At 35.3% G+C, this 12,535-nt stretch overlaps 1 protein-coding gene across 18 annotated transcripts in view, besides 1 other annotated feature; it reads right to left on the bottom strand.

The window, feature by feature from the left end:
- The window catches only part of NTNG1 (netrin G1), a 344,836-nt gene that overhangs the window by 314,819 nt on the left and 17,482 nt on the right, over positions 1–12,535 (bottom strand). The window lies entirely within an intron of this gene.
- Positions 4,448–5,647: an enhancer, noted in NCBI's record as "BRD4-independent group 4 enhancer chr1:107707080-107708279 (GRCh37/hg19 assembly coordinates)". NCBI's record gives its function as "activates an origin of replication core promoter dependent on BRD2, P300/CBP, MED14 and CDK7 cofactors, and independent of BRD4, by STARR-seq in HCT116 cells {active_cell/tissue: HCT116}" and the evidence as "EXISTENCE:reporter gene assay evidence [ECO:0000049][PMID:35650434]".

Raw genomic sequence — 12,535 nt, 5'->3', positions numbered from 1 at the left:
TCTCCGTGAAGATATTTTATAGATGTGATTTAAGTCCATAATCAGTTGATTTTCAGTAAGGGAGATTATCCTAGATAATCTGAGTGGGCCTGATTCAATCAATTGAAATGTTTTAGAAGCAGAGTTGAGTCTTCCCTAAAGAAGAGAAAATTCCAGCTGTGGACAGCAGCTTTAGTCTGTGCACAAGAGTTCCAGACTCCCCTTTCTTACAGCCTGCCATAAAGATTTTTCAGTTGCCTAGGCAGCCTCCACAATAGCATAAACCAATTCTTTGCGAGGCATCTCTTAATGTACATCTCCTACTAGCTCTGCTTCTCTGGTTACAGTGAAGATTCGATGTCTTAATGAATGACTAACCCTGACTGATATAGTAGGCTAGTGCAAGGCGTCCTGGGGGTTGTGTCAGAGAATAGACAGAGTAAAAACTACTTGCTTTAAATATACACCTTACCATTTTAAATTTCATTATTGGATAGCCACTCACTTATTTGTAAGATTTTATAAAAATTCAGGATTTCCAGAAGGGGTAACAGCATAAACTATTCCTATGAAGGCCTTCACCATTAGAGGTTCCCTACTCCTGCTTGAGGTGCTTCTTGGCACTTCATATGAACATATGAAGGAGAGCTCTAAGGACCAGCAAATGAGAAATTACTAAGTGGATCTAATGTACACTATTTAGGCGATGGCTACATTACAAGTCTAGACTTCACCACTATGCAGAAAATCTGTGTAACAAAACTGCACTTGTATACCCTAAATCTTTAATAATAATGAAAGACCAGCAGAAGAGTAAGCATCAAATGGAAGCATTGCTACTGTGTAGCTTGGCCAAGGGCCAGTCCTCTCAGAACTAGTAATTCTCCAAATTTCCTTGAATTTCTAATGAATTACAAGTTTGACTTCTCCCAGGTGGCCAAGACTGTAAATTATAGGAATGTATACCCAAAGGATTTCATTATCAGAATGGAACCTACCAAGATGCTCTAAAATATTAATACTCTTGCCATTCTTTGTAAAATCTATAAATTCAAGAAAAAAGAATTTGATTCAAAGACTATGGAGTCAAATAATGCATTTACAGATTAAACTGTTTGCAATGGTTAGTTTTATTTTAACTATACATTAAATATGGGTACAGATTGAATAGAAAAAGAAGGCTAGCCTACATATGGAAGCCTTAGTAATGGCTTCAGCAAATTTCAGTCTGTCAAAAACATGATGTATATTTGAAATTGGTGACCAATTTGATCAATTTTTCAAAATGTCATCAGCTCAACAAATATATCCAATTATTTTGAGATGTTTCTGCAGATTTTGTTTTGCTATGTTGGTTCTATGAATCAGCCCTTTATGGTTAAGAGACTAATGGGCCTGTCCTGAGTTTGGAGGATTGAGCCAAATAGGAGTGAAATCACAGATATTGCTATAGATATAATACAATGTGCTTATTCCTATGTTTATCCAGGATGCAATTTAAAATATGATTATTTTAAGCTAGATTTACTATTGGGTTTATTTTGTTGTCCTTGGTAAATGTCACCACAAAGTAGTTCCACTTCTATTTTCCTCAAGGGAGCAGAGATGCTCATGAACAGTTGTAGACAGGGGCATAGTGTCAAGTTAAAGCAGATATGGAAAAGTTTCTACTGAGAGAGAGAAATATTTTAAACTGTCCAGAATATTAAAAACAAATAAGATTTATATATCAGAAAAATACTCTTCTAGATGTAGTGTCTTACTTCATCGATTAATAACTAATTGTAGACATAATTTTACAGCTTCCTGAAATTATTTTTATTACAATCTAGTTGCTAAGGTCATTTTTTGACAGGATTCTAAAGTGAAAATGAGGACTTTACCAGTGATTTCCTGTGCTGATGATGTACTTCCTTAAAAAAGAAAAAGAGAAAGAAGGAAGGAAGGAAATAAGGGGGATGCGGGGAGGGAGGGCAGTAGAGCAACACTTATTGTCTTGTTCATTTCAGGCTAGACTTCATGAATAATCTTGTTTCAAAGTAAAGCTCCCTTTAGTTATACTGTGAAATTACAGGGTGTTTTTCCTTCAGAGACCTCAAAGTTCTCTTCTGGTATCAATTTGTCAATAGCCCAATGCCTTCCATCCTGTAGTGCCCAGAGGAGTCTGTTCTAGCATTATTTCTGCAGAGCCTTTCATAAGCCTTATGACAACCCAAGGTAAGAAGCATCAATTATGACTGTAAAGTTTTGTTTTGTTTTCCAAATGCTTACTTAACTAACAAACAATATACACATGAAAAAAAAAGAATGGCTTTACAAAAACTGGAAAACTTAAGGGCAATATACTTACATCTTTCTAAAATCTACTCACGCTTTCATTCAAATATTATATTAATACATGTTAGGCATTTAAGACAGTGCCTGATGAAATATACTCAATAAAAATTAATTATTATCACCTTAATGATATCCAGCAATCTCACAACTATTTTTTATTAGTTACTGTGACTTATGGCAAGTCATTTAACCTCTTCACCTCAGTTTCCTCATTTTTTAAATGAGGCTTTTACCTACATATTAGAATTAACATGACTAAAGATACATAAAACCATATTTAAGTTTTTATACAAATATAAAAATACATATTATTTTTATATTTGTACTAATAATTATACAAGTTATTAGTATAATAAATATGGGTCTTGAACTTTAGGCACTTTCGAAATTTTAACACTGATAATAATAAATCATATAGAATATATATTATCCCCACTACTAATAAACTGTGGAAAAGGTAATGCCGATGTTCTGTCATTACAGATAGATTCTTCTAAAATAAAGTTCTTCTCGGTGAACATGCATAAATTCGTGCCACTCTAAGGATAACTGTAGACAGTCTCATGAAGTTATGAAGATCTGTTCTGTAACACTGAGGGGCAAATCAAATAAAATAGAACTTAGGCAATTTTATAAATCTTTCTTACTGGAAAACAGTGGTAAAACCAACAGTCCAATATACCACTGAAACTGTCATATAGTCATGAATCAGTATTTGAGAATTGGAGGGAAAACTGAGGTTTGGGCTGGGATTACAGAATGTCCTCTGAATGTCAGAGATTACGACCTAGAGCAGGTTAAGTTGCTTGTATCTGAACTCTGTGTCATTGTGATCCTTCTGACTGTACCCATCTCTAAATAAAAGCACTTAAACCCATGGTACTTAATGACAGCACCAGTGACTTTGATATTTCCCCATCTACTGTTATGTAGATATTGTATATCTCCATTATGTAAGTCTCATATCTCTAGAACGTTTTTGATAGGCAAAGGCCAGGGTCAATCCAAGGGTCTGGTATGTTATTAAGAGTGACTTTTTCTTGTACTTTTGGTTTCACAGTCAATTGTTTCAGATAATCTTCATAAAAAAAAAATTAAAAACTCCCTGAAACCCAGAAAGTTTGAATAAGTGACTTGTCCAAAATTACTTGATCAGGCTTTTGTAAATATATTTTGAATTGGATCTTTATATTATCTGTTAAGTACTTATGATTTGTGATCACTGAGCTTGCAAATAAATACAAAATAAGAATTATGGCAACTTACTTTTGTATACCACTTTCCTCCTATTTTATCTAGTACTGTGCATTTTATAAAGTACCTTCACCTACATTATTGCATTTAAAGATTGCTTATAGAGAGATGAAGCGAAGTATAAGAAACGATGGTAGTATATTATGTATTGGGAAACACAAGGAGAGCTGAGCAGGATTTACATTAATTCACAGACAGCACAATGGTAACATTTGTTACTGTTGAGATAAATCTACAAAAGAAACTTATTTTAAAAGGAAAGCGAAATACAAGACTTTGCAGTTTCCTTAAGCTAGAATGTCCTTCTATTTCTTCTTCCAGCTTAGAGTAGTCTACTTTTTTCTCAAAGCTTAGCTCAAAGGCCTTCTGGTTTTATGAAGCTATCATTGATCCCTCTGAGTTTGCAATGAACTGCTTCTTTCTGTGTTCCCATTGCTATTTACATGTAGTGCTGGCATAATATTTGTTTCTTCTTTGTAAATAATTATTGACTTTATAAAGCTTCTTGAAGGCAGAGGCCAGTCTGTCATTGTTATCTCCCATTATGCCCAGCCCAGGGCTCTACAGAGCAAGGAATTTCATAAATACATGCAGCACTAAACTAACTGTTTAGAGAACACTTAGGGAACACAACGTAGGGACTTCACAGTGGAGAGAAACCACTAAATACTCCCACAAAACAGCCCCAAGTATCACCTTCTGCCAGATTCTTCATGAGGTTACTTTGACATAATAAATAATGGCAAAGTCACTGGAAATAAGAAAAATGTGGCAGAAAAGATTATTGACGGACAATAATTAAAATGAAAGAGTGAAAGTGGAGAGCAGAAATTTAGGAAAGCAGACAGGGTAGAAGGATTCTTCATTCCATGCTTAGATATTAAGGGCTCACTATGTATCAGGCACTATACTTAATTGCCAGGGATACAATAGAGAACACAGGTTCATTTCTGTCTGCAAGGAGCTTACAATCTGATGTGGGGGGCAGACTAGTAACTAATAATTACAAAATGAAATGGTGAGTGCATTGTTAAGGAGAATTACCTACTACAAGAGGGCAGTTGCATTGCTAAGAAAACTTGCTCTTTAATTAACTTAAAAACATAGTTTCAGTGACAAAAAGGAGTTAGGGATTTTTCGTCTTATAACAGCAAAGCTATTTTAATGTAGGAATTTTAATAATAAAGTTGCATGTCTTAAACGCTGTTAGATATAGTGAATTCCAAGTTTCTCTTCAAAGAATCCGTATGTCAGTATGTTCAGCTCTCTTATTCTTTGATTCTCCATTTTAAAGTTTAACTTCCTGGTTCTCTTCGCCCCTTGCCTCTAGTTTCAGTAAACAGCTTTCCCGCTAGTTCTAATCAGTAGTTCACATCTGTTCCCTTGGTCACCTGCTTTGACCTGAGTCACCCCTGGTCACTTGCTCCATCCTGAGTCACTCCTGGTCACCTTCTCTGACCTGAATCATCCTGAGTCACCTGTTCTGTAACCGCCCTTCCCGCCAAACTACTCACCCCACTCTGGCTCGTATCCCTGCTCTCTTTAAAATAGCCAATCGGAATTAGCTTAGACTGTGCGGTCCAACCCTAGCCAACAGGGGAACCACACAGCGTCAGGAATAAGAACCCCTTCCCCTCCCTTGTCTAGGTATGCTCTCGCCATTATTCAGTCGCAAGTTGCACCCTTCTATAGAAGTAAAAATTGCCTTGCTGAGAAAATTAAATTTATGTTTGAGTGCTATTTCTTTGTGGCACTGAGGAACAAGCGTTTTGTTTCTAACAGCTGTAAAAATGTAGATGCAAAACCAAAACCATTACTGCACAAATCTAGCATTTGACAACGTTCATATTTTCCTCAAGAACAATGGTCTTTACTTTCCTGACATCACCAGCATTAAGATTACATACTCTCATAGGAGCTTAAATTTCTTCTTTGAAGTGTTTATCACAGTAGTAGTTACTGGTGTACTTATTTAAGTATTTCTCTCTGCTTTCGCTATGAGCTCCAAGAGGTTAGGAAATAAGTCTGTTTTGCACATTTTTGTACCTCTAGCTCAGTACCTTGCACATAACAGGTACTCAGTAAGTTAAATTACTAACACTTGTTACTTTTATCACCCAATGGTCACATCAATAAAGTTTCTGTATGGATTACAACAGCTTTTTCACCCTTCATGGTTCTCTTTCCAGAATGTAGTATGAGTCCTGCACAAAATCAAGTTATAATTGTGAGGCCTGCATGGTGCTTGGGACCAGCAGGCACTGTTGGCCAGGCTGTGACCAGCACAAGGAAGTCCAACCAAGCTAGAGGTGGAGGCTGAGATCCAGCCTGCTCTCCCCTCCTCAAGCCACAGTACAAAGCTACATGTATTGGAAGGAAATAGCACCTCTTTTTAATTCACAGTCACCTTGATAATGCAACTTGTTGCTGTCTCTAATTGAACACACTGTGAAGTAAAAAATGCAACTGGAGTAAGTAGAAATTATGGAGCTAAGTTTCCATCTAATAATGTTTTGTTTTGTTGAGTAGCAGTGTGACGGAAATCCATTGGATGCTTTTGAGGAAGGGGATAATATGGATAATATGGCAGCCAAAATAATTGATTTAGAACCTAGCATTTCCATTTCCCATGCAGCAGGAATTCCTCTCACTTGCTATGCCTTTATGAGAGCCAACATATTGAGCCTATTCCAATATGTCATTAATAAAAAGAGCTTTAATTTATTTGCACAATTGTTTATGTTGTTAGCTTTCTTTGTTTTCAGAAATAGTTATTACATCGTTCGTAGACATTTCTAAAGCAGTTGTTAAAACACCGAGCCAATATAATCTCAGTGCAAATGTCATTGTATCCATGAGTGATTATTTTAATTCTGTGTTATTTAGAATACACTTCGTTTAATTTAAAATCACAGTTGTGAAATTATTTTGATTTTAAATACCTTACTTGGAGCCTGAACCTCACAAGCAGTTAGCTACTAGCTGCCATTAGTAACATCCAGGAAAGCCAGACACATTTCAGAAAGGGAAACTAATAGGAAAACCTTCAGAAGATTCATTCAAAGCAGAAAATAAGCATCAGAAGGACTTGTACATTTTAGCAAGAGAAATGATAATCACAATGATAAAGATAATTAATATTTATTGAGTATTTACTATATGCCAGGCCCTGTGCTAAGTACATCATCTTATTATTTTTCAAAACAAAGAAGTAAAATAACTTGACTGAGGTACATCTTGAACCTTCAGACCTGTTTAAATCCAAATAAAATATCCATAAAGGTATGCACTTCCCCATGTTAGACATGGCACTTCAGAACACTTGGCTCTAAATGTCTAAAAACCCAAAAAGCTTCTGATCCCAGAAACTTCCTTTCAAGAAGGGACAATTGACTCTTTTTTATGAGGTCATAAAGAAATGTAAAGACTTATCATTGCTACTTTTAAAAGATCCTCCAATTCCCCCTGAACAAACAAGAAGATGTACAAAATGTGTACTGATCTACCTCCCTTGTCAGTCTAAATGTAAACTTCCTGGCTGTGGTTTTAATTGGAAATAGAACCCTTCCTTGCTGTCCAAATTTATTACAGTTACACATCACCCTCAGGTTTTAATCTAGGAGACAAGTTATTCCAGTGATGGATGATGCAATATTTATATATCATCTTGCAAAGTAAGCAAAAAGACTTCCAGTTTTAAAGCACTATAAGGCTATTGTTATAGTCTAGTAATGAAGACGGTAAATTTGGGAAAAAAATTACATATGGTTAAGTATTAAAAATTTTAAAAGAAGGACTTTTATACAAATTGTATAGGTCAGAGTATATCTTTTAATTCGGGTGGCCAGATGTAAGGTGCCACTCTTAAAATTTGTTGCCCCCTGTGTAAAGTTCTAGTCAAAGAAATTTGCTCATAATTTAGCTCAATGTTTATTTATCCAAATTTCATGCTTCTTTCTGTTATTTTGCCATTCTAAATATTTATTGGTGATGCTTATGCAACTTCCAAGTGATTTATTATTAAATAATTAAAACAAAAATGAGACATTAAGAGGCATAGTACATAGAGTTTTACCAAAAATTCTAAGTTAATTGTGGTTACCATGATACATCATAAAATCTATTCCTGACAGCTAAGAAAATAAGAGAAACATGATTTCTTAATATAGTAATTACATAATAAGAGGAAGCATATCAATAAACACGACAAAACTTATTAAGGAGAATACTTAAAATCTGTCGATAGGAGTTCAAAGTAGTGCATCCCCATTTGACGAAAATGTTCATACTCTACAGTCCAACAGATTGTCTTTGGGGTGCATTCCTTGGGAAAAACAAAATAAAACTTGCTCATACACACCAAGAGTTTGGTGCAAGGATATTTCTTGTAGAGTGGCTTGTAATTGCAAAAACTAAAAATAAAAAAAGAAACTTCCTAAATTTCCATTAATGAGTTATGTATTTATACAATAAAATATATACATATGCATACATATGTACATATATATAGTATTAACATGATCATATAGATCAAATGGATAATTTACAAATATAACATTGAATGACAAAGCAAGTTACAGAATAGTTTTTTTTTTCTCCAGGATGGTAACATTAAAAAAATCCAAAATCAAAAGTATGTGTTATTTTTGAACACATAATCCATGTATAAAAGCATAAAAGCATGGACTAGAAGGAAATACAGCAATGCAAGATACTGATTTCTTCTTAGGGAAATAGGGACAAAGATTATTTCAACTCTGTCAGTGATATCTTTTTTTTTTTAATTCTAACAAAAACAATATAACATTACCACTGTTAATCATAAGTCGTGGAGGTTTTTTTGGTGTTTTTTCTTTTTTTCTTTTTTTTTTTTTGAGACACAGTTTCACTCTGTCACCCAGGCTGGCGTGCAGTGGCACGATCTCAACTCACTGCAACCACTGCCCCTTGGGTTCAAGTGATTCTCGTACCTCAGCCTCCCAAGTGGCTGGAATTACAGGTGCACACCATTACACCTGGCCAATTTTTGTATTTTTAGTAGAGATGGGGTTTTGCCATGTTGGCCAGGTTGGTCTCAAACTCCTGACCTCAAGTAATCCTCCTGCCTCAGCCTCCCAAAGTGCTGGGATTACAGGCATGAGCCACCACACCCGGCCTATAAGTTGTGGTTGCACGTGTATTTATTATACTGCTTATGTACCTTAAAATATTTTTAATTGAAAAATAAAGCTAAAGGTTAAGGACCTTTAAGAGATTAAGGGCCTCCAGCACAGCCAATACCCCAAAGACCTTGTGTATATCAGAGCAATAATCTTTGATATGAAGGTTATGGTCAAACAAATATATCTCTGTTTAACGGTTCATTCATTCATTTAACAAATGTTTATGGGGCTCTACTATGGGCACTACGAAACACAGTTCCTACCCTTTGGAGCTTGTATTCTGGAGGGGAAAAGAGATATAAATAAATGAGCAAATATATAACCTATGAGATATCAGTTATAGTCTGATAGTCAGAAAGTGGCCTGTAAGGAGTAAAACCATTGTCATCTCTTCTGATTGGTCAGTATTTGTGCTGTCCCGGTTTGTAAATATTTTTACTATAATCCCCATAAAAAATTCAGAGGATGCATTTCAATAGGGTGGTCAGGTAGGCCCCTTTGAGGTTTTTTAAGTGGAGACCTGAATAAAAGTTAGGAAAAAACTATAGGAAGATATTGAGAATGCAGATCCAAGCAAAGAAGCAGGAATAAACAGTGTTACAAGGAACAGCAAAAGGGTGCAGCTAGAGAGGACTGAGCAAGGTGGGAGCAATGACAGTGGAGGTTAGAGAGGCATGCAGGAGCCAGATTAGATAGGAAGTTCCAGGCAGTAGTAAGGGTTAGCATATGATGTTGAATGGACACAAAGTTACGAGAAAAAATGAACAAGGAAAGGGTCAGACTGGCTGAGATTTTTTTAAATTATACACACACATACATTATTATGTTACGTACGTCTCTATTTTATAATAGCTTATATTATATAGTATATAAATGATGTTGATAGTAGGACAAAAGTAGGAAGCAGGGAGACCAATTAGGAGATACTGCGGGAGTCTAGCCTAGAGACACAGCTGGTTGAGACCTGGCTGTTGGCAGTGGAGAAGGTAAAAAGTGGTTGGATTTGCAATATATCTTGACGATTTTGCTAACAGCACTTGCTAATATATGTTGTGAGGGATATAAAGGAGTTAAGGAGGATTCTTAGATTTTTCATCTTCAGCAGCTAGATGAATATAAGTTGCCATTTACAGATATGGGAAATACTAGAGGCAGAATAGATTTAGGAAGAAGAAATCAAGAGTTCTATAATAAACACATTAAGTTTAAACTGCCTACTAGACATCCAAGTAGAGACAGCATGTAGGCAGTTGGCTATATGATAACAGTTGTTATTGATACTGTAAAAAACCAAAAACAAAACAAAAGCATCACACTAACTACTTTTCTCAACACCTCACCCACAAGAATATGATTTTGTTAACTAGCCAACAGTTGCTGACTTATTATTCTGTTTTTTACATGATGAATACAATATGTACTCCGCTCTCTATGATTTCTAACAGCTTATTTCCATTTATATGAACACGTTAATGGAAAAGAAAGCAAGAATGGAAACAAACACTGTTGATCAGTTCTCTTATCCCTGAATGAAGACACTCATCACGTAATATGTATTTTCAACCTTCCATACACTCTGTTTACACAATCCAATTTTCTGAGGTTATTTCAGATGAAAGGCTTTTTAAATAACAAAATGATAGTATTGTAGCTCACAGCCCAAATCAAAAATTTGATTTTTTAAAAAAGGTTTTCACTATGGTCTTATTCCATATGCTGCAAATAAAATTAGGGGAGGAATAGAATAGTTTAAGAGTGGAACGTAGATGTCAGAGTGGGTTTATATCCTGTTTGCACTACTTACTTAGAATAATTATTTAACCTCAGGCTCCAATTACTCTGGTGAGTAAGGATAAGATAGGACTGAGGATTATAAGAACCAACACAGTCCAAGCTTTCAGTACAGTGCATGACACCATGTAAGTTCTTCATAAATATCAGCTACAAGTATTATCTGTAAAAATATAGCACAAAGTTCAATTCAACAAGCATGTAACTACTCCTATATGCATCACACCATGCTCGGCACTATAAAAGCACTGTCTCCCGTGATGGCTAAATAGAACATGATTCTGAGCCAGATAGTAGCCACATTGATGAGTATGCTCCCTAACACCTCATATAAGATTAGTCTTTCTAAACTTTGAAATAAAAACCCATATGGAGTGGCCCAGGCATCAACAACCAACCTCAGATTAGCATATTGGCCACCAACTCATTTTCTCTATGTCATGCACACATCTTCTTCTGTAAGTTATGCAGACCACACACATTGGATTCTGTTCTCTCTTGAGAGAGCATGCAGACGGTCCACAATATGAATGACCTCAGTCTACTCTGACCCACAAAGGAATCCAAAAATTTTGAATGTCATTTTCAAAAAGATTGAGGCCCTTTAGTATAACCTTCATATGACCTACAAATCTCAGCTCTCCATATCTGGCAGACAATTTATAGTTTTACACATCCCACATTCATGTCTTCTGGCACCTATGCACACACTAAAATATCTTTCTTTGAAATATAGAATTCTTTTTCTAGAACAGTCTTTTAACTTCTCGGCAGGCTTCATATTCCTTACACTTGTCTAATCTTTTCTACCAGTTTATAATTTTTTCCTTCATACGAATCACTATAGAGGAACCATGACAACATTGCTGAAACACAAGACAAGTTTCCAGACCACGCTTAGAAATTGTCTGGAAGTGTACTTGATTTCTTCATTTTACAATTTCCAAGAAGGAAAGGGAGCAACAGGAAAGCAACAAAATGCCACATATGACGGTGAAAAATCACTGTGCAGATATGGCCTCATGATAATGTCGGCAGCTGGACTTCTCAATGGACATCAACTCTCTGAAACAAAAGGGCTATTTCTTTGTACTGGAGCAACACTTAGTTCAATTCTTCATTTAATATTTTAGAAGTCAGCTTCAAAGCAGGTCAAAGAGAAACCAATTCTGTTTTTTCCTCAGCTCACATCTTTAATTTTCATGGAATAGATACTATATGAATCTATCTATTCCTAGCAAGGTGAAAAGAAATTTACAACCTGCCGATCTCAGTAAGTTTTTTCCAATCTTATGCTTATGAAACAAATTTCATCATTTTCCCCTTTTGTAAGAAAAGAAACTCTGAAATTTTTAAATGGCACACAAAAAACCAGCCTGCCAATTAGACTGGTGAATTAAAACCAGAGCAGATTTCATACCAGCAGTTTTATACAAGGAATTATGTTTTAGGATTCAACTTTTTTCAAAGGGACTGATTCTAAGGGGAAAGGATGCTTTGCCTGAGAGTAAATGACAACTTAGCCAAGTTCTTATAATAGGAACAAAAGACAGAAGCAGGCACTCAGATGAATCTTTCCCAGCCCTAAGATTATGTCTCTACCACCAAAATCCAGTGCAGAAATCCATAACATTTCCACAAAATGAGGAGTGTGGAAAAGTCTCTGAAATGATATCTGTTCTATGGCAAAAAGATATTCATATTTTGAATGGATTATGCTGACAGAAAATGGAGTTTTTGTAAAAGGTCCAAATATTACATATATATAAATAAGTATTAATTTTTGGCTTTAGTAAAAAGTTAGAATCCAAGAGGCAAAAAGTACAAAGGAGTTAAAACTCTTACAGTTAGAAATAAAGAAATTTAAATAGCCAAGAAACATATTAAAAATCAACCCTCTCAATAAATGCATCTTTAAAAAAAATGAAATGCCATTTTTACCTTCAAATATGTCCCTATATCAATCTCAAATTTAAAACATTATAACCTTAGGAAAACAGATGGTGGGAATA

The sequence above is a fragment of the Homo sapiens genome, chromosome 1 (assembly GCF_000001405.40).
Source record: "Homo sapiens chromosome 1, GRCh38.p14 Primary Assembly".
In the NCBI taxonomy this organism is placed as follows: Eukaryota; Metazoa; Chordata; class Mammalia; order Primates; family Hominidae; genus Homo; species Homo sapiens.
The sequence above is the reverse complement of the archived record's forward strand: the minus strand, read 5'-3'. Positions and strand labels throughout refer to the sequence as shown.